Source organism: Homo sapiens, chromosome 11 (assembly GCF_000001405.40).
Source record: "Homo sapiens chromosome 11, GRCh38.p14 Primary Assembly".
NCBI classification, from domain to species: Eukaryota; Metazoa; Chordata; class Mammalia; order Primates; family Hominidae; genus Homo; species Homo sapiens.
In genome coordinates, this window is record NC_000011.10 from 125,883,022 (window position 1) to 125,903,327 (window position 20,306).

Genomic DNA, 20,306 nt, shown 5'->3' on the forward strand with positions numbered 1-20,306 from the left:
TGCCTGGCTAATTTTTTGTAGTTTTAGTAGAGACGGGGTTTCACCGTGTTAGCCAGGATGGTCTCGATCTCCTGACCTCATGATCCGCCCACCTCAGCCTTCCAAAGTGCTGGGATTACAGGCGTGAGCCAATGCGCCCCGCCTTTTTATCAAATACTTTTAAGAAGTAAAAAAGAATGAGGGCTGAGCAAGACGATTGGAGCTGACTACCAAGATCACTGGTGACCTTTGAAAGTACAGTTTGAATATACTGATGAGGGTAGAATCCAGAATGCAGGGACTTAAGGAGCAACTGAGCAAACAAAATAGGGAAGAGAGAATGGACAAAAAGGCTGACAGAAGGGAGCAGCAGTCTCAAGGGAAAGCTGGTTATTTTCATTTTGTTATTCTTTATGCCATTATTGTTCTGCCTCCAATACTGAGAAGACTTAAACAGAGAAGAATTGAAAATATTAGCGACAGGATGTAATTAGTCAGACAAGGGAGGACTATAGTTGAAAAGTTTGTCTGAAAATGTCAACAAAGAGGTGAGGTAAGCAAAGATATCATAAAGGAGTGGTTAACTTGGCCGGGCGTGGTGGCTCACGCCTGTAATCCTCACATTTTGGGAGGGAGGCCAAGGCGGGCAGATCACCTGAGGTTAGGAGTTCAAGATCAGCCTGGCCAACATGGCGAAACCCTGTCTCTATTAAAAATACCAAAATTAGCTGGGCATGGTGGCACGCGCCTGTAATACCAGCTACTCAGGAGGCTGAGGCAGGAGAGTCACTTGAACCCGGGAGGCGGAGGCTGCAGTGAGTCGAGATCGTGCCACTGCACTCCAGCCTGGGCGACAAGAGCGAGACTCTGTCTCAAAAAAAAAAGAGTGGTTAACAAGCATGATGATACAACCAGTTGAAAGCAATATTTGAGTTCATAAAGAAGTTGATGAGTTGATAAACCAACAACACCTAATTGGGGAAAGCATAAGGAAGAGAGCTGTGTTGCAATCAAAAGGTAAGGAAGCCATATTCAACTACACTGCTTAGATGTAATCAGCAAAATCCAGATTGTGGGAGATTGTACAGGGCCAATAACCTGGTTCCTTCAACAAATAAATTGCAAGGAAAAAAATGAGGGAGAAATTTAAAGAATAAAAGAAACTTAAAGAACATATGGATTTGACATATCATGTGGATTTGACTGGATCCTGACCCAGTTAAGCAAACTTTAAAAAAAGAAAGACAAGTAGAAAATTGAACTCTGGATATCTGATGATAGTAAGAAAATATATTAACTACTTTAGGTGTGATAATAGTATTATGTTGGCCGGGCGCGGTGGCGGGTGCCTGTAGTCCCAGCACTTTGGGAGGCCGAGGTGGGCGGGTCACAAGGTCAGGAGATCGAGACCATCCTGGCTAACATGGTGAAACCCTGTCTCTACTAAAAATACAAAAAATTAGCCGGGTGCGGTGGCGGGTGCCTGTAGTCCCAGCTACTCCGGAGGCTGAGGCAGGAGAATAGCATGAACCCGGGAGGTGGAGCTTGCAGTGAGCTGAGATAGCGCCACTGCAGTCCGGCCTGGGTGAAAGAGTGAGACTCCGTCTCAAAAACAAACAAACAAACAAAAATAGTATTATGTTATGCTTTTAAAAGGTCCTTTAATTTTTCAGAGATCATACTGAAATATTTAGATTTCAGATACTCAGTATTTGCTTCAAAATAATACAAGACAAGGTATGTGGTGATATAGAAGCAACAAGACTGGTCATAAGTTAATCATTGCTGAATCTGGTATTGAGTTCACTGGGCTTCATTATGTATGGTTTTTTAACATTTGTTTGAAATTTTCCATAACAAATTTTTAAGATGAGATTTGGTTTGCAGAGTAGGATTTTTCTCTATATACTGTATTTTAAGTGGTCATGGTTAAAGTTTCTTGTTTAAGGTTTGACCGGGGTTCAGTAGATTTCTGGGAACCACAAGCATTATTAAATCAGATCTAAGAAAAATTGGAGGACTAAGCAATCCACAAAAAAACCAGGGTTGGGTAGAACACAAGATACCACTTGCAATATGAAATATTCAGGAGTAGATCCTTCAAGCTGCTATGTATTAAACGTTTTCAAAGATCAAAATTTAATAAAAAGGATAACAGAAACTAATTGGGGCTGCACACAGTGGCTCACGCTGGAAATCCCAGCACTTTGGGAGGTGGAGGCTGGCGGATCGCTTGAGGTCAGAGTTCAAGACTAGCCTGGCCAATATGATGAAACCCTGTCTCTACTAAAAATACAAAAATTAGCTGGGTGTGGTGGCACACGCCTGTAGTCCCAGCTACTCAGGAGACTGAGGCATGAAAATCATTTGAACCTGGGAGGTGGAGGTTGCAGTGAGCCAAGATCGTGCCACTGCACCCCAGCCTGGGCTACAGAGAGAGACTCTGTCTCAAAAAAAATTAAAAAAAAAAGAAAAAGAAACGAACTGGGGGATCCATAAGGAGAATGCTGATGTTCAAAGCTGGAAGAAAAATGATTCCATCTACTCTTTGGTTTCTAAGACAGATTGGAGATTCAAAGCCAAAGAAAAAGTCATGCTGGCATAAGATAAAACCTGAGCATATTAAATTTGCTCCTATGGAAAGAAAAGAATATATGCACTAAAACAAAGGTCCCCAACCCCCAGGCCACGGACAGGCACCTAGGAACCAGGCCGCAAGGCAGGGGGTAAGCCGTAGGAGCTTCATCTGTTTCTACAGCCACTCCCCATCTGGCATTACTGCCTGAGCTCTGCCTTCCGTCGCATGAACAGGGGTGTTAGAGTCTCACAAGAGCGTGAACCCTATTGTGAACTGCGCAAGCCAGGGATCTAGGTTGCATGCTCCTTATGAGAATCTAATGCCTGATGATCTGTCACTGTCTCCCATCACCCCCAGATGGGACCATCTAGTTGCAGAAAAACAAGCTCAGGGCTCCCACTGATTCTACATTACAGTGAGTTGCATAATTATTTCATTATATGTTACAATATAATAATAGAAATAAAGTGCACAATAAATGTAATGCGCTTGAATCATCCCAAAACCATACCCCCTCTCTGAGCCATGGAAAAATTGTCTTCCATGAAACCTGTCTCTAGTGCCAAAAAGGTTGGGACCGCTGCACTAAAGGAGTGTTATGATATTGCAGATGTAGGGGCAGTCACTCAAATCTCCACAACCTACTTCTGTCATCTTCCCTCCTTTGTTCTTTCCATTTTCTTCCTCCCACAAATTCAAAGTGCCTTAGAGGTAGCACAAAGGCCCTGAGGCAAAGAGGGAGAGTAAGAGATAATACGAAGTGTTTGGAGGAAAAGGATTAAACATTTCTCCCCTCCCACTGAATCCTGGATTTAAGAAATGGTGTAAGATGAACTTGACAACTAGCACCTATTTGTTTAAGGTGGAAAATGCAATGCTCAGGACTCAAGACCAGTTGAGATAGGTTTGCTTGGTATTGACTAGGATATTGAACCCTGAGGGCCTCTCCTCTTGCTTTTACAGATCTCATCCTCAGCAATCCCCAAGCACTAGATTTTTTTTTTTTTTTTTTTTTTTTTTTTTACAGGTACAGATGCAAAAAGAGTTAAAACATCGGGTTTAAAAAAAAAATTAGTGGCTGGGCACAGAGGCTCACAACTGTAATCCCAGAGCTTTGGGAGGCCGAGGGGGTAGAATCACCTGACTAACATGGTGAAACCCCATCTCTACTAAAAATACAAAATTAGCCGGGCATGGTGGTGCTCGCCCGTAATCCCAGCTGCTCGGGAGGCTGAGGCAGGAGAATCGCTTGAACCTGGGAGGCAGAGGTTACAGAGAGCTGAGATCGCGCCACTACTCTCCAGCCTGGGCAACTGGGCAACAAGAGGGAAACTCCGTCTCAAAAAAAAAAAAAAAAAAAAGTTGAGAGTAACACCATGTGAAGGAGACAGGCACATTCCAAAAGAAAACAAGTGCATGTCGGAGCAAGGCAGTCGGTGGCTGGAGCACAGTTAGAGTAACGTGGGAGGAGCTGTGGAGACGCAGCCACGGGTCACGCCAGGGCCCTGCACACCATGCAGAGGAAAGGAAGAGCTCAGTGCGCCAGGGTTTCATACAGCCGCTCTCTCAGGCCCCAAGGAAACGTCTAGAGCGCACAGGCGGACTCACCCCAGACTGTTCGAACCGTCCCTGAGCGCCCGCCCTCGTCTCCCGGCACCACTGGCCCCGCAGCAGCCAGTTGAGAAGGGCGGAGGCTGATTCCAATGAAGTGGCAGACCGTTAGGCGGCCTCTCCAAAAAGCCAGCTATGTCGCCGTTAGCCAAGGTTTGAGGGTCTTCTCCTTCTCTTCGAGGGCCCAACCTCCCCTCCAGATTTAGTACACCAGAGGCGTCGCAGCAACGGCTGCTGCCTGCGCGCCTCAGCTAGGCGGGCTCGGATATTTTTAAGGCCACATTGGAAATCCCGGGCATGCTCCCGCCGGCGGAGAAGGCCCAGACAAAATGTGCGCCAATCAGGATACAGACTTGGAGGACGTTTACCCTCAGGACCAATAAGAGGGAGGGCGGACCGGGCCAAGGGTGCCGGTTCGCTCTCCGGATTTAAACCTCAGCGGTCGGCGGTTAACCGCAGGCTCGGCGCGTGGGCCGGCAGTGCGCCTGCGCAAGTTACGCGAAAGCTAACAGAATCTGCGGTGCTCTGCTGGCGACTGGCAGGACGCGGTGCAGAGAGCGGACTTCCGCGACGCGGGTAAGCCGGGCGAAGGCCGGAAGCGGAGGGACGCGGGGACCTGGTGGCTGCCGGCCCACTGCGGCGGGAGCCCTCGCTCCTTTTCCCACCGTCGGGACGGTGCAGAGTGGCAGCTTCCCTCCGTGGATTCCAGGTCCTGCCTGGCGAGCCGTCCCCAACGTCTGCGTTCCTGAGGGAGGCGGCCGGGGCAGCGTGAGCTACAGGCGATGTGCGCGGCGGGCCGCAGCCCCTGGAGGTCACGGTGTGCGCTGGCCGCCGCCGCGGTCTTTGCCCCGGTGGCCTTTCTGAGCTCCTGGGCCGCGCCCCTGGGACCAGGCGGAGGCCGGGGACGGCCCCAGGGCTGGAGGGGAGTCCCGAAGGCCGCTAGCGACCTGGGTCCAAGCCACGCCCACGGCCAGGCGGGGCGACTGCGAGCTTTGCCGTTGAAAGGCGGAGCGTGTCTTGTCGCCTTCTAGCTGCACCTTTTGTGGACTGCAGCATGGAACCGTCCAAGGTGTTTGTCCACCCCGAAATGGAAATAAATCTTTTTTATTCTAAACAGTATACAATCTCACTAAGCAGGCAAAGAAAAACATTAAGATATCTTTTTAGATTGGTAAGATTTTTCAGTACCCCATGCTGCTGAGAGAGTGAAGAAATGAAAGCAAGCACCTTTATGGCCTGTGTGCTGGGGATAATCTGTTTTTCTAGAGGGCAGTTTGGCATTATAAATCAGAATTCAGGCCGGGCGCGGTGGCTCACGCCTGTTACCCCAGCACTTTGGGAGGCCGAGGTGGGCGGATCACGTGAGGTCAGGAGTTCGAGACCAGCCCGACCAATACGGTGAAACCCCGTCTCTACTAAAAATACAAAAATTGGCCGGGCTTGGTGGCGGGCGCCTGTAGTCCCAGCTCCTCGGGAGGCCGAGACAGGAGAATCTCTTGAACCCGGGAGGGAGAGGTTGCAGTGAGCCGAGATCGCGCCACTGCACTCCAGCCTGGGCGACCGAGCAAGACTCTTGTCTCAAAAAAAAAAAAAAAAAAGAGAAAAGAAAAACATAAATCAGAATTCAAGTAGTACCATAACTTCTAAGTCATAATCCAATTCCAGGAGTTTATTCCAAGGACATAAATCGGACAAGAATGCAAACATAGTATGTACATGTTTTTAGCAATCCGAGCAACATTTAGTACGTGTAAAGAAGAAAGAAAATACTCGAAATTTCATCAGTCACAGATAACCATCAAACACTGTTCACATTTAGGTTTACTTCAGATATATTCATAATATATACCTTATATTTATGTGATTTCCTTATAAAATGTGTTTTAAATAATTGCATGTTACAAATATAATAAAGTATGTTAATTTAAAAGAACGTCAGTTAAGCAGATTATACATTATTGAGTCAGTAATAAATTGGGAACACATTTCTCTGTCAGTGTCGATACGCATTACCATTTTTAATGGATGCGTGGCGTTTGTTGCTATGGCTGTATTGTATCATATATTATTTAACCAGTCCCCTACTAATGTACATTTGTTTCCAGTCTCTTCATAATCATAAAATGGTATGGTAGTGGTCACTTGTATGTATACATGTTTGCATTCTTGTCCAATTTATGTCCTTGGAATAAATTCCTGGAAGTGGATTATGACTTAGAAGTTGTGGTACAGTTTAAATTCTGATTCAAAATGCCAAACTGGGCCGGGCGCGGTGGCTCACACCTGTAATCCCAAGCACTTTGGGAGGCGGAGGCGGGCGGATCACTTGAGATTGGGAGTTTGAAACCAGCCTGGCCAACATGGTGAAACCAAGTCTCTACTAAAAATAGAAGAAAAATTAGCCGGGCGTGGTGGCAGGTGCCTGTGATCCCAGCTACTCGGGAGGCTGAGGCAGGAGAATCGCTTGAACCTGAGAGGCAGAGGTTGCGGTGAGCCGAGATCAGGCCACCGCAACTCCAGCCTGGGCGACAGAGAGAGACTCGTCTCAAAAAACAACAACAATAATAATAATGCCAAACTGCCCTCTGGAAAAACGGATTATCCCCAACACACAGGGCATAATAAGGATGCTTGTTTTTATTTCTTCACACACTTGCCAGCACCGGGTACTGAAAAAATCTTATCAATCTGAAATGATGTCTTAATGCTTTTATACACATTACTGAAATTGAACATGTTTTCTGTTTATTAATTTTTGTTGCTGTTTAGAAACAGACGTTGGCTTTGTGCCCAGGCTGGAGTGCAGTGGCCAGATCATAGCTCAGTGCAGCCTCAAACTCCAGGGTTCAAGCGGTCCTCTTGCTTCAGCCCCCATAGTACTGAGACTACAGGTTTATGCCACCACGCCTAGCTAATCTTTTTTCTTTTTTTTTGAGAGATGGGGGTCTTGCTGTGTTGCACAGGCTGGTCTTGAACTCCTTCACAGCCTCAAGCGATCCTCCCACCTCAGCCTCCAAAGTGCTGGAATTACAGGCATGAGCCACTGCGCCCAGCTGTTTGTTAGTTATTATTCGTTTGGTACGGCATCTGTCTTTTCTCCCCTATCTTACTGATAATGTGTACCCTTTAATAGCTTTCTAAGAGGAATTCAAATTACTGATTTTTAAACGTGTTACAAGTATTTCTCCCAGTTTGTTGTCTCTTTTGCCTTCATTATGGTATTGTTTGCCTTTGTGGTAGGATGTTTTGTTTTGTTTTAATACTGTGATTCTTTAAGCTGCTTGCTTACCTCCCCAGAGGTGGAGAAATTTGTTATAACTCTGCAATAGCCTCCCTATAGCAGTCTACTGACCCAGTCCCTTTATCTCATTTTGAAGTCTTTGCCCCTTCTACCCTTGAAATCCTTTTGATTGTAACTAGCTAACCCTAGGATGCTGAGTCACTAAGACTTTTGAAGAGAAGATATGGTTAGGTATTTCGGTCAATGTTGTCTGTGTTTACAGAATACAAGTTGCTCTAGCTTTTATGTGAAAGTTTCCCTCTAAAGAGAAAGGATTGTTCGATCTTTTATATTAGAAAGAGAAGGAACTGACAGTTACCTATGGACCTTATTAAAGTTTCTATTTTATTTATTGTTTGCAAACATCATCTTCATATGTTCAAGGAAAAAAATAGGAGTGTGACACAGTTGAAATGCAGAGGAAATAACACATTAATCACTGTATAGTAGGACACATGCCATTAAAAAAAAAAACTAACTCTTGGCTTTACTGCCAAAAATCCTCCTAGCCCAGAGTCTCACAAATCGTTATTTATGTATAAATATATAAAAAGTGTCATTTAAATTTCACAACCTAAATAGTTCCTTTATTCCAACATTTATTTAGTCCTTACCATGGGCCAGAGACTTCGGATTTGTACAAATGCTGTCTAAGAGAGCAAGTACTTTTGCAAAGTTGCATTTGGGGGCTTCCCATTTGTTCCACCTGTGATGACTGTCTTGACTTTTTCTATGGCAACTACCAAAAATGTAGTCACTAAATTCTTACTCTTCTAGATTGGATAATATAATCTAGCCAGACTTGAAGGGATTTTACTTAAGATCTAAGACCCTGATCTTCTGATTCCTTTGCTTCTACACAGTATCCTAACAATGACTTATGGTTAGTGCATTTTGTTCCATGTATCACTGCTTCAGAGTTAATTTTTTTAAACTCTATTCTTCTTTTCTAGGTTTTTTTTTTACTTGAATGTAAATACCAATCAAGATACATTGAAATAAGGTAAGAAATTGAAAAAAAAAAAAAAAAACCTTGGTTTGCACTTACATATTTAAGTTATTCCACCATGATCATTGATTACATGAAAAAGAGGATCTTTAAATCAAAAGTAAAGGCCAAAGTAATTATATTTTAAGAATACTCAGGACATAATGAAGTGTTGATAGACTGGGTCCCAAAAAGCAGTGATAATGATTCAAATCCAGAAGACTTGGATCATACAATGGGCAATTTTGAATAAATCTTAAGTAATTTGTACCACTAATTCCCCATCTCTAAAATGGGGTATTTTCTGGTTCCCTGTCTGCTAGGATATAACAGCTATTATAATGTACTTTTTAGTACTACAGGGTCACCTCACCTTTTGTATGCTATTTTACTTCCTAAATCTGGAACTGTTTCAGTGAAGTCTATTTCTGTGGTCCACCCCCCTTCTGTAGCAATTATGCAGCATTAGTTTATGATTTATATATTAGTATTGTTTTTAATTGTCCCATGTGTTATTTGCACTAGCAGCTTGAGGATAGAAAACATATTTGTATACCTGAAGTCTTGAACATGGGTAGGAAAAAACTAATTATTGGTTGGTAAGTAAAACTTTGGATCTCATAAACATGGTAGAATTGTAAATTAGAGGATCAGGGTCTTAGATCTTAAGTAAAATCTTTCAAGGTTGACTAGATTATACTATCCAATCTAGAAGAGTAAGAATTTAGTGACTACATAAGTCAAGACAGTCATCATAGGTAAAATAAACAAGAAGCCTTCAAATGTAAGTTTGCAAAATTACTCATTCTCTGAGGTGGCATTTGTAAAAATTCCAAATGTGGTGAACACTCACTTTAGTAATGAAAATTATTATTGAGGAAGAAGGTCTGAGTTCAAACTTTGATGTTTATTATTTTTATGGTTGCAAAGGATAATGTATTTAAGACAACTCTGAGTTCTTTTGAATAAATACTGGTGTTCACAAGTAATATTTTGAGGATCACTTATTAACTTTGAGAACAAGCAAAGCTCTATCTCATTTTTCCTCTCTCAGTATGTGGTACTACCAGCCACTCATTTTGCTCACATCTGAAACTTAGGAGTTATCTAGAAAGCCTCCCTAGTTTTGAACAGCATATTTATTCACTGAGTCCTGTTGTTTCTACTTTCTTAATCTTAAATTCATCTACTTCTGTCCATTTGCCTCACTAAAAATCTCTTCTAGGCCATTTTCATCATCTATTGCCTCCATTACTCCAGCAGCCCCCTAATTGGTCACAGTGCCTCCAATCTTGCCCTCTTCCCATCCACAGAATACTCAGAGCAATATTTTTGCCACACAATTCTATCGGGCATGTAAATTTTTTCAGTGGCCCTGCAAAATCTAAGCTTTTTAAGGAATGTCTTTGCTCTACAAATGTGACCTGTGCTTACCTTTTTAAACTATGTTCTTGTCACTCTCAAGCCGTATTAAAGAATTGAGCTGCCTGAATGCATATGTTGTCATCTCTAACCCTTTATACAAACTGGATCTTCTGACTTAGACACATTTAAAGTGGTTCTTTATCCTCATTTTAACTGGCTCCCACTTGTTCTGCAAGATCTAGCTTCAATATCTCCTCTATAAGAACTTGCCTATAGTCACTAGCCCAAGGCTTGGCAAACACCATGGCCCATGAACTAAGAGTGCTTTTTAGATTTGTAAAGGATTGTAAAAACATGTATGCAATAGAGGCCATTTGTTGTTGACACAGCCTAAAACATTTACTCATTAATCCTTCACAGAAAACATTTACCAACCTCTGCACTAGATTTATATGCTTTGTAAGATAAGGTACTGTGCTTTATTCCAGGTAGGTAACTTTGTGCCTGGCATTAAACCAATTTATCCAATCTTTAATTAAATGAATTTAATATTCTTAAATTCTGTCTTAGAAAATAAGACACTCAGATGCAGCACTTTATGAAAATTCAGATGAGTAGTGAATATCTTATCTGCTTTGGAGAGAAAAACACAACAAATCAGATACTTGCAGGATTAGGCTTTAATGAATTTGAATACAAGGCACAGGTTTCCAGGTGTATGTAAATACATCTCCATTTTACGTTCTTTAATCGCTTAATCCTTTTGGACCGGGATAAGAGAATATTTGAAATTTCTTATTAAAGCAATAACTTCCTTAATAGGGCTTTAGTCTTTTTGCTTTTTTTTTTCTTTTAAGAGCTGATCATCTGAATTCCTAGTACTTGCAAGTAAATTTTTTTTTTTTTCCTTTTCTGTCCACCTACCATTAGGTGGTTCCTAGATCCTGGCAAATTGTCTATGGTTAAATGATGCTTTTAATTTCTGTGTCAACACAGACCCTCTTCGTTGGTGTCTCCAAATTAGTATTCTCTTCCTCTAGTGTGTCATTACAGTCCCTTTTGGCTTTTGTTTCTTCCTCATGGAATAAATGTGGGTGCTCAATTCGTCCCCTACGTACAAAATGCTGGATCCGGGATTCCAGTCCTTGGCATTTAGGACGGTCCATGAGGGGCTTATATGTGCGCATCTTCACTCCTTCTACAAAGGCACTGGTCTGCTTTATGACAGAGGGCTTAACATTTCCCCATTCTGTCATTCCATCCATCTTTGGTCCTATTCCACAGGGTACTGGAACAGTGTCCAGTCCTTGTAGCATACTATACAACATGTGAGTTTTGACAGCATGATTAGCCCACAGTTGTTGTAGGTGGGTAATATTGAACTCCTGAGCCTCCTGGTCATAGATCCACTTGACATTTTCAAACTTACAGTCATATAAGACTAGAGGAAATTCTACAGCCATACTAGAGAAAAAGAGAAAAGAAAGTTTGAGAATACATAACATCCATCTAACAGTTCTTTAAAAACTAAGGGTTAGTTGCGTTAAGGGAGCCGGGTAGGGCGCCACCATTGATGTTAATATTGCCTAATAGCTGAGAAAATATCTCACCATCCCTAACCTTGAACACCTTTATTACAATAATGAAAAATGCAACAAATCATAGATCAACCTGATCTATGTAAGGTAAATGTCAGTGCTAACAAGACATGGCTCCATCATACTGCTATAAAATTAAAAACAGCTGGTATTTTTTCCAAATTTGTTAATGGCATTGCAATTTTGTATAGTATGAGTAAAATTATTGGTATCTATCTCAGCCTGTTCTCAAATGAAAAATCTTGACTATTCTTTCTTTCCTACCATTTTGGAAATAGGAAATTAGGAAAAATTCAGAAGTACAGTAGGATGACTACTCAGTGATATAAAACAAGCAAGATTTAATATGAATAGTTTGTTCATTTTAATTTTACCACATCCTAACAGTAATACCTCTTAACATAAATTCAGAAACACCAATGATGTAGAAATTAATGTCTTTTTACTTAAGGAGCCTGGTCAAAACACCTGCCTCTTTACTCATGGGATAGAACAATGAGAGGAAATTAAAATACACTGCTCCCTCTTACATGTTCATAACATTCTACAATTCAGAGTAAAGCTTCATGAAGGCAGAATCAGTGACTTCGTTATTTAGACAGTTACGGTGGAGAGGAGGATATGCTATTTCTTTTTTTTTTTTTTTAAGACAGTCTCCCTCTGTCACCCATGCTGGAATGCAGTGGTCCAATCTCAGCTCAGTGCAACCTCCGCCTCCTGGCTTCAAGCAATTCTTGTGCCTCAAGCGTCCCGAGTAGCTGGGACTACAGGCATGTGCCATTTATTTTTTATTTTTAACTCACCTATATTGAGGCTTTTGGGGATTTTTCTCTATATTCAGCAGCTCATCAATAATCTCTGGCTTCTCCATTCCTTGGCCAATCAGAAAGAGGATAGCCATCATACATCGGACTTGATGATAAAGGAATGCCTGGCCAGTCACTTCAAACTGACATAACTGGAAAGGTTCTTGCCATCTCCCCTCACCTGGGCTCTGGCCCACTAGCTGTACTTGAGCAGATAGAATAGTCCTCTGAAAATTAATCACACCGTTGGCTACATCCATTTTACACAAGTTCCTGAAATCATGGGTGCCAACATACTTCTGAGCTGCATAATCCATGGTTACAATATCTAAATCAGCACGAGGGAAAAAATAGCGGTAAGTCCGCTCAAGGCAGCTGAACCTAGCACTGAAGCTTGGTTCTACAGGGGCCCAGGCCAATATACGGATGTCTGGAGGGAGTACCCGATTGAGAATGTGGGTATAACGGATCTCTTCAGCAGCAGCATTAGCCTCCTCTTTTACATTAAAGTCCTCGGAATCCCTGCCCCTTGGAAACTGAGAGCGAAGGTCAAGTGAGATCACCTGTGGAGTTAGACAAAGATACTGGGTTTTAGAGACACAAATAATCTCAGTACTCAGTGTGTATACCTAGAATATCCTAGTATTGCTTGCTTTGAGAAACAGTGTATTGGCCCTTACCTGTCCAAAGGCACTAACTCCTTTATCTGTTCTCCCACATCGGTGATAGTTGGATGTCTGTCTGCTTTCTACTAGTCGAGTCTTGGTTAGAGCTTCAAACAGTTTCTCTTCAATGGTATTATTTGTGTTTTCCTGACTAGCAAAGCCCTGGTATCCCCAGCCCATATAGGCTATTCTTAGGGCTACGTGTCTTCGGCCATGAGCACTGAAATCAAATGCACGCTTAGTTTTTCCAGCTCCTGCTGAATTTTCTCTAATGTTTGAGTCCTCCTTATTTTTGGCCTGTTCCTTTTTAAGTCTTTGCACCTCTTGCTCCAGTTCTCGTACTCTTTTTAGGAGCTTCTCAGTCTGGTTTCTGTCTGTGTCATTATAAGCCATGATATGACAACCCCAGGAATAAACGAACCATACAGGTCTGCCCTGTCTGAAAAGAGAGCAAAGGGATACAACAGTTTCAATGCTAGTTCCTTTGATGATGTTCTAATGGTATATAAGATTTAATTTAATGCCCAAAGAATATACTTTTGCTTTTCCAGGAATACAAGCATTAGCTTTATTGTGGGTTGATCATCCACAGATAGCATTCTTTTCCATCCTGTCTGGCCAGTTCACAGAGGGAAAGAACTGTTTGTTATTCAGTTGTCATTATTAAGGTTTCATTAAAGCAGTCAAAATTCAGGGAGAATGTCTATAGATTTCATTTCTCTATCTTCACTGAATTGATTGAGGACTGATGTTACAGATTTTTTTCTCTAAAACATTTCCATTTGATTTCTCACTGTATTTGTTCAATTTGCTAGTCATAAGATTTCTTTATATGGGCTACTTTTATCTGCTCTGAGTTTCTATTGCTTTCCATTATCTCAAATAAATGACTTGTATGCTCCATCATCTAATATTCATTAGATGAATATTAGGTGGTGCAATAGAAGCTAGCCTAACTGAAGAAGCTTACCGATGGTTGTATTTCACATTGGAAGTAGAAGCTAGAGACAAGATTTTCTCACTTTAAGCAATTTTGATGGGAGAAAAAAAGATAATTAAGCACTCTGACCCCTTTCTAAAGCTGAATTAAATGCATATTTTGATAAAAGATTTCTGTGCCTCTAATAGTTTAAAAAGTCAGTCTGATGTAATGTAGATGTCAGTGTAGAAATTCCTGTAATATTTCAATAATCTGAGGACAACTGTACTACATCCTTAAAATTGGGATGGTCCTAGACAATCTGTGACTGATGGTTACTTTAGTTAGAGAAGACCATCTCCACATCTGTTCTAAGGCCATGTTATCTAAGTATAGGTAGCTTAGTTTTTTACTATGAGTTTCTGTATCTATAATAGATTAAAAGTTTAAATTGTAAAAAATGAAACTGAAAGTACTAGAAGAAAACATGGAATGACTTTTTTCTGAAATTCTGGAGTAGGAAAGGCATTTCTAAGCAAAACAGTCTAGAAACCCAGACACTAGAAAAAGATGTGACCTAAAAGGAAAAACTTCTGCCAGCAAAAAATAAAAGGCAAATGACAAACTGAGAAGAAAAAAATAAGTGATGGTAAAGTGCGACCTTCCTCAATATATATTTCATGAATATATACATCAGTTTTAATGAAAAAGTAAAAAAAAAAAAAATCCAGCAACCTGAGAGTCAAATGGGCAAAGACCAAGCATTTCAAACAAAAAGAAAAAAGCTTATAAAAATTTTTTAAAAAAAATTTTAAATGCTCAATTTTACTCAGCTGAGATAAATGCAAAAGGATATGAACTATTTTTCAAGGAAGTGACTGCAAAGACAAAGTTTGATAGTATACCACTTTGGAGAGGGAATAGAGACACAAGCTCTATTAATGTATGGTCAGTACAGCTTCTTTGGAGGTAAACATTTTGGCAACAGCTGTCAAAATTGAATATACACATACCTTTTGGCCCACCTCTCCCATGTCTAGAAATTTAATCCATTCATATGCTTGCACAAATAGATAAAAACTTGCAAGATACTCGTGTTAGCATCAGTAAACCTATAAACCTAAATTACACCAGTAAGGGAATGGCTGACTAAATTTATGATACATTCATACATTGGAATTCCGCGCAACATAAAATGAAGAATGTCGGCCTGTGCTGATATAGCTGGATAACCAAGATTATCTTTAAGGTTCAGAAGAGTTGTGTAGTGTTGTCCTTTACGGTATTAAAAAAAAATGTACATGTGAATATGGAAAATTTCTAGATAAATCATAAGAAATTGCCTTTGAGAGTAAAACTTGGTGGGGGAGGGAAAATCCTTGCTTAAAATTATCATGTGCATGTATTAGTTTTTCAGTTTAAAAAGAAAAATAGTGGGGACACAGGAAATAGTGGACAGTAGATACCTATCTCAGATCCAGTCAGGAAACTAGCATTGGGTATGTGGCTGATTGATGTGGATACCAAGTTATTTCAGACACTAGAATAAACAGATTTAGCTGGCAACTGAAGATGCATTAAAACTACCAAGACAGCTGGGCGCGGTGGCTCACCCCTGTAATGGGAGGCCGAGGCGGGTGGGTTGCCTGAGGTCAGGAGTTTGAGACCAGCCTGGCTAACATGGTAAAACCCCATCTCTACTAAAAATTCAAAAATTAGCCAGGCGTGGTGGCCCACACCTGTAGTAGTCCAGTTACTCCGGAGTCTTAGACAGGATAATCGCTTGAACCCAGGAGGTGGAGGTTGCAATGAGCCGAGATCATGCCACTGCACTCCAGCCTAGGTGACAGCAAGACTCCATCTCAAAAAAAAAAATTATTAAAGCATAGAAATTATATGTATGCACGTATATACACATTATATGTGTGTGAGAGAACACAACACTGCTTTTGTGATTTTTTTTTTTTAGATCAAATCACTCTTTTATGGTTAAAAGCAGGGACTCAGTCTGAAGCCAAACTGCTTGAGTTAGAATTTCAGCTCCACTACTTACTAGCTGAGTAACCTTGGGCAAGTTATTTAACTTCCCTGTGCCTCATGTTATTCATCTGTGAAAAGCAGATAATCCCACAGCTGAAAATTACATGAATTAATAAATGTAAAGCACATAGAACAATGGCAGGCACATAAAGTACTCCCTAAGTACCTGTTACATAATGTGCATTAAGCAGTATGCCCCATATCATGTAGTTTCAAGCTTTTCTTATGCCAGAACTATACTGTCCTGTTTTAGGACCTGAAGGTGGCAAGACAGTAGAAAGCAGGAGTAAGAGTGGAAATGAAAGCAGGTAATAGATTCCCTAGAACTGAGTTAATGCCCCTCTAAACTGTTCTGATACTACCCTGTATTGAATTTATGATGGCCTTAGCCATTCTTTCTCCATTTGACTGCTATAAAACGGAGATAAGGGAATGAGCAATTTATGAGCTGGGAATTTATTATCAGAAAACTGACCAATGTTATCTCTTGCAGAAGGTCCTACAGTGTAGGGGAAGCAATGGAAGAACTTCTACCTGATGGACAAATATGGGCTAATATGGATCCAGAAGAACGAATGTTGGCAGCTGCTACAGCTTTTACCCACATCTGTGCAGGGCAGGGTGAAGGAGATGTCAGGAGAGAAGCCCAATCTATCCAATATGATCCCTACAGTAAAGCTTCAGTAGCCCCAGGGAAGCGACCTGCTCTTCCTGTGCAACTACAGTACCCACATGTAGAAAGTAATGTCCCTTCAGAAACAGTCTCTGAGGCCTCCCAAAGACTCCGAAAGCCAGTGATGAAGAGAAAGGTGCTGCGCAGAAAGCCAGATGGGGAAGTATTAGTAACAGATGAGTCGATTATCAGTGAATCAGAATCTGGTACAGAAAATGATCAGGATCTCTGGGACTTAAGACAAAGGCTGATGAATGTACAGTTCCAGGAAGACAAGGAATCTTCATTTGATGTTTCACAAAAATTTAACCTACCACATGAATACCAAGGAATTTCTCAAGATCAGCTCATTTGCTCTCTACAAAGAGAAGGAATGGGCTCTCCAGCTTACGAACAAGACCTGATTGTTGCCAGCAGACCCAAGTCCTTTATTCTCCCAAAGCTGGACCAGTTAAGCCGAAACCGGGGCAAGACAGACCGGGTAGCCCGGTATTTTGAGTACAAACGGGACTGGGACTCAATACGTTTACCTGGTGAAGATCATAGAAAGGAATTACGCTGGGGTGTCCGAGAGCAGATGCTTTGTCGAGCAGAACCCCAATCCAAACCTCAGCATATATATGTCCCAAACAATTATCTAGTACCAACAGAGAAGAAAAGGTCTGCACTCCGTTGGGGTGTTCGTTGTGACCTTGCAAATGGTGTCATACCCAGGAAGCTTCCCTTCCCTCTTTCTCCTTCTTAAATCTTTTTAAACTTCTTTCACAGGATTGTTTGAGATAACCTAGCTCTTTATATCTTCCCTTTTAAATAGAAACAACTGTCTTGAGAAGCTCTTCGAAACATTTTATGGTAAGGACTTCACCTATCATTGGTCTTTCCTAGCTATATATCACATTGGTATCAGATGATACTTCCAAATTGCCACTCAAATCCAGCAATTGCAAGATAAATCATATCAGAGAAAGAACAACAGACCTGGTCTTTCTATTTTGTCAAATTAGTAAGGGCCCTTTGTGTCCTGTAACTTTTTTTACCTATCAATATGAGTTGCTGTGCTTCAGTGTGTGTTTTTTAAGTTGCTGGGCATTACACTTACCAATTAAAGAATTTTGGAAATTCATGAACTTGAACATTATTTCATGAAATACTTGCCTAAGATGATCTTGAACCTGGGCTATGATGAGAGCTCAAAAGAAGGAACAAGCCGGGCGCGGTGGCTCACGCCTGTAATCCCAGCACTTTGGGAGGCTGAGGCGGGCGGATCACGAGGTCAGGAGATCGAGACCATCCTGGCTAACACGGCGAAACCCCGTCTCTACTAAAAATACAAAAAATTAGCCGGGCGAGGTGGCGGGCGCCTGTAGTCCCAGCTACTCGGGAGGCTGAGGCAGGAGAATGGCGTGAACCCCAGGGGGCGGGGCCTGCAGTGAGCCGAGATTGCGCCACTGCACTCCAGCCTGGGCGACAGCGAGACTCCGTCTCAAAAAAAAAAAAAAAAAAAGAAGGAACAAAAACCTGCCTTTTACATAGTCCTAAAGGATGGGAGAGGTTAACAACATGGATAGCCTCATTACTAAAGGTGTACAACAAATCCAAGTAGCTTTAAAATACTTTCTAACAAATGCCCCAAAACAGTACCATATAACATACAGGATTCAAACTTGTTTTATTTCAGAATTATTTCATTAATATTTTGCCTGCCAGCTGTTATTTCTGGAATACCATTCTTTTTATAATTTGCCCCTGAGATTTTTGTAGGAATTATGCATCATTTGGAAGGGTATTCCTACTCCAGTAGAAATTCAAACTAGTAACATCTGGAATCAGATGCAAACATAAATACCAATATGAACCTAGCCTGTTTGGGTGCAGATCAAAATAGGAATTCTGCTCACCTTAAATTGTAATTTATCTGTTCTTGATATTTCTGACCCAACGGGGACCATCTAAAATCTGAAAGTTGTCAGTTTTAACACCAGAGGCCAGAAGAATGATAGTACAGTTTGCTTGTTCACAGAGAAAAAGTTCTAACATAAAGGTGAATGACCTTGACCGTTACTATCTGCGAAAATCATTTTCCCTGTAACATTTAAAGCCACATAATTCACACATTCACCCAGTTCTATTTGTTAGGCATTTGTCTGGAAAAGAAGTAATCAATGACTCAGGTACATGTAGGATATACTCACCGCAAAAAAGTAGAAACTGCAAACTGTCCACCAACAGTGGAATAGTAAATGTCTTTAAAGACATTAGAATATTAAATAGTCATTGGGAATCTTGGGAAAGTAATATGGGAAGGTGAAATTAAGTGACATGAATGTATCATAAACTATACAGGATGATCTCAGTACACACAGGGAAAGATCAAAACCTAACGAGTAGTGGGATTAAAGGTAATTTGTATTTATACCTCGACTTTTTATGAGGTCAAAAATTACATGGTGATTTTAACATGCAAAACACTCCAGTGATTATTTGGATCTCAAAGTCCAACATTACCAAAGTCTCCAAAGTTCAACTCCCGTGCTAACTAAAGAACTAGGCCAGGGAGTGAGTCTAGTTGGTCATAAGGCAGATTTGTGGCAAAAACAGGACTTGGTACACTACAGTGCTTTTTCCAGCACACCTTACCCTAATTCAGGGTGAAGTGCAGGAGTTCCCAAGCAGACGTTTAAAGTAACACCCTGGCCAGGGCTGCGAAGTAACCACAGAGAGGGAATTCGTGTGTCCCCTAAGCACCAATTACAAACTAAAACGGCCATCACCAGATGTTCCATACATTGGGCCAGGCGCCGTGGCTCACGCCTGTCATCCCAACATTTTGAGAGGCCAAGACGGGGTGGTGGCGGGGGGGAGGGGGGGTCGCTCGAAGTCAGGAGTTCGAGACCAACCTGGGCAACACAGCGAGACCGTGTGTTAATTAAAAAATTAAAAACTAGGCTGCCAAGATGGCGCACGCCTGCAGTCCCAGCTAGTTGGAGGCTGAGGTGGAAGGATCGCTTGAGCCCAGGAGGTAGAGGCTGCAGTGAGCAGTGATCACGCCACTTCACTCAGCCTGGGCGACAGTCTTAAAAAAAAAAAAAAAAAAGTCCTAATCTCAGGAACCAGTGGGTTAACACATAAATAGCATTCCTCTTGATAAACTTTATATTAATCCAAAGGGAAGAAGAGGGAGTACTGTCCAAAGGATTAGCAGACACGCACTATGATCACTAGAAAGCAATCGTGGTCTGTATGTAAGGCAATCCCCAAAATAATTTGAAAATTGCTGCCACAGCCTCCCACATACTCCTGGGTTCTCAACTTCTACTGTTTTATGAGCACCCAATTCTAAGTGGGGCAGCAGAGCACTTTTGTACTCCACAGTACAAGTACCACTGAAGCTCCCGTCACAACGGAATTAAAGACGACCCTACTGCGGCGAGTTTCCACCGAGAGCTCCAGAAAGTACCAGGCACAAAAGAAAAATACATGGTCTTAAGCGAGGTCTCATTTCCATACGGCAATGCTTTCCTGAAAAGACCAAAGTATGTGAAAGAGGGCAAAAAGAAGACAACAGACAACCGTTCAGCAGTGTGTCCATTTGTCCCTTCCCCTGTGGAACCCAGAAAGTAACCCACTCCAAAAATCCCACACTTACTTTCCGGCAGCCGGCCGCGCCGCGTTTCCGAGAAAGGAAGCTGTCACTGTGCGTCTTCTGCGCAGGCGCCCGAGCCCTCATGGGAGGTGTAGTCCAAGTTTGTGGGAAATGTAGTTCTGAGAACCGAGCTTGGTGCTAGAATCTACCTGAGGTTTTCT

General features: G+C 41.8%; 2 protein-coding genes across 12 annotated transcripts, besides 4 other annotated features; one reads left to right on the forward strand and one right to left on the reverse strand.

Moving 5' to 3' along the window:
- On the forward strand, nucleotides 593-17,625 carry HYLS1 (HYLS1 centriolar and ciliogenesis associated). Of its 5 annotated transcripts, NM_145014.3 has the most exons (4): nucleotides 593-996; nucleotides 8,402-8,451; nucleotides 16,083-16,137; nucleotides 16,323-17,625. In NM_145014.3, exon 4 carries the CDS (start codon nucleotides 16,348-16,350, stop codon nucleotides 17,245-17,247), a length of 900 nt encoding a protein of 299 aa, NP_659451.1. In that variant the 5' UTR covers nucleotides 593-996; nucleotides 8,402-8,451; nucleotides 16,083-16,137; nucleotides 16,323-16,347; the 3' UTR covers nucleotides 17,248-17,625. The 5 variants fall into 5 exon arrangements, with proteins under 5 accessions (NP_659451.1, NP_001128265.1, NP_001411293.1 ...); NM_001134793.2 differs by lacking the exons at nucleotides 593-996; nucleotides 16,083-16,137 and adding an exon at nucleotides 4,647-4,744; NM_001424364.1 differs by lacking the exons at nucleotides 593-996; nucleotides 16,083-16,137 and adding an exon at nucleotides 4,647-4,744 and having other exon boundaries at nucleotides 16,326-17,625.
- Nucleotides 4,355-4,404: an enhancer, noted in NCBI's record as "active region_5702". NCBI's record gives its function as "activates an Ori minimal core promoter by ATAC-STARR-seq in GM12878 lymphoblastoid cells {active_cell/tissue: GM12878}" and the evidence as "EXISTENCE:reporter gene assay evidence [ECO:0000049][PMID:35858748]".
- Nucleotides 4,545-4,594: a silencer, noted in NCBI's record as "silent region_4042". NCBI's record gives its function as "represses an Ori minimal core promoter by ATAC-STARR-seq in GM12878 lymphoblastoid cells {active_cell/tissue: GM12878}" and the evidence as "EXISTENCE:reporter gene assay evidence [ECO:0000049][PMID:35858748]".
- Nucleotides 4,685-4,734: a silencer, noted in NCBI's record as "silent region_4043". NCBI's record gives its function as "represses an Ori minimal core promoter by ATAC-STARR-seq in GM12878 lymphoblastoid cells {active_cell/tissue: GM12878}" and the evidence as "EXISTENCE:reporter gene assay evidence [ECO:0000049][PMID:35858748]".
- Nucleotides 4,835-5,224: a silencer, noted in NCBI's record as "silent region_4044". NCBI's record gives its function as "represses an Ori minimal core promoter by ATAC-STARR-seq in GM12878 lymphoblastoid cells {active_cell/tissue: GM12878}" and the evidence as "EXISTENCE:reporter gene assay evidence [ECO:0000049][PMID:35858748]".
- On the reverse strand, nucleotides 10,464-20,185 carry PUS3 (pseudouridine synthase 3). 7 transcript variants are annotated; one of them, NM_001441240.1, is made up of 5 exons: nucleotides 20,149-20,185; nucleotides 17,658-17,823; nucleotides 12,886-13,309; nucleotides 12,649-12,768; nucleotides 10,464-11,265 (listed from the first exon to the last, which is right to left on the reverse strand). In NM_001441240.1, the coding sequence occupies exons 3-5, from the start codon at nucleotides 13,261-13,263 to the stop codon at nucleotides 11,233-11,235; spliced, it is 531 nt and encodes a 176-aa protein (NP_001428169.1). In that variant the 5' UTR covers nucleotides 13,264-13,309; nucleotides 17,658-17,823; nucleotides 20,149-20,185; the 3' UTR covers nucleotides 10,464-11,232. The 7 variants fall into 7 exon arrangements, with proteins under 7 accessions (NP_001428169.1, NP_001428166.1, NP_001428168.1 ...); NM_001441237.1 differs by having other exon boundaries at nucleotides 12,203-12,768; NM_001441239.1 differs by lacking the exon at nucleotides 17,658-17,823.

Coding starts and splice junctions, on each gene's coding strand:
- PUS3 (NM_031307.4), bottom strand. CDS start 13,263: ATGGCTTATAATGACACAGACAGAAACCAGACTGAGAAGCTCCTAAAA. Junction 12,769..12,885: donor GAGTTAGTGCCTTTGGACAG/GTAAGGGCCAAT, acceptor CTAACTCCACAG/GTGATCTCACTTGACCTTCG. Junction 11,266..12,202: donor CCCCAAAAGCCTCAATATAG/GTGAGTTAAAAA, acceptor CTTTTTCTCTAG/TATGGCTGTAGAATTTCCTC.
- HYLS1 (NM_145014.3), top strand. CDS start 16,348: ATGGAAGAACTTCTACCTGATGGACAAATATGGGCTAATATGGATCCA.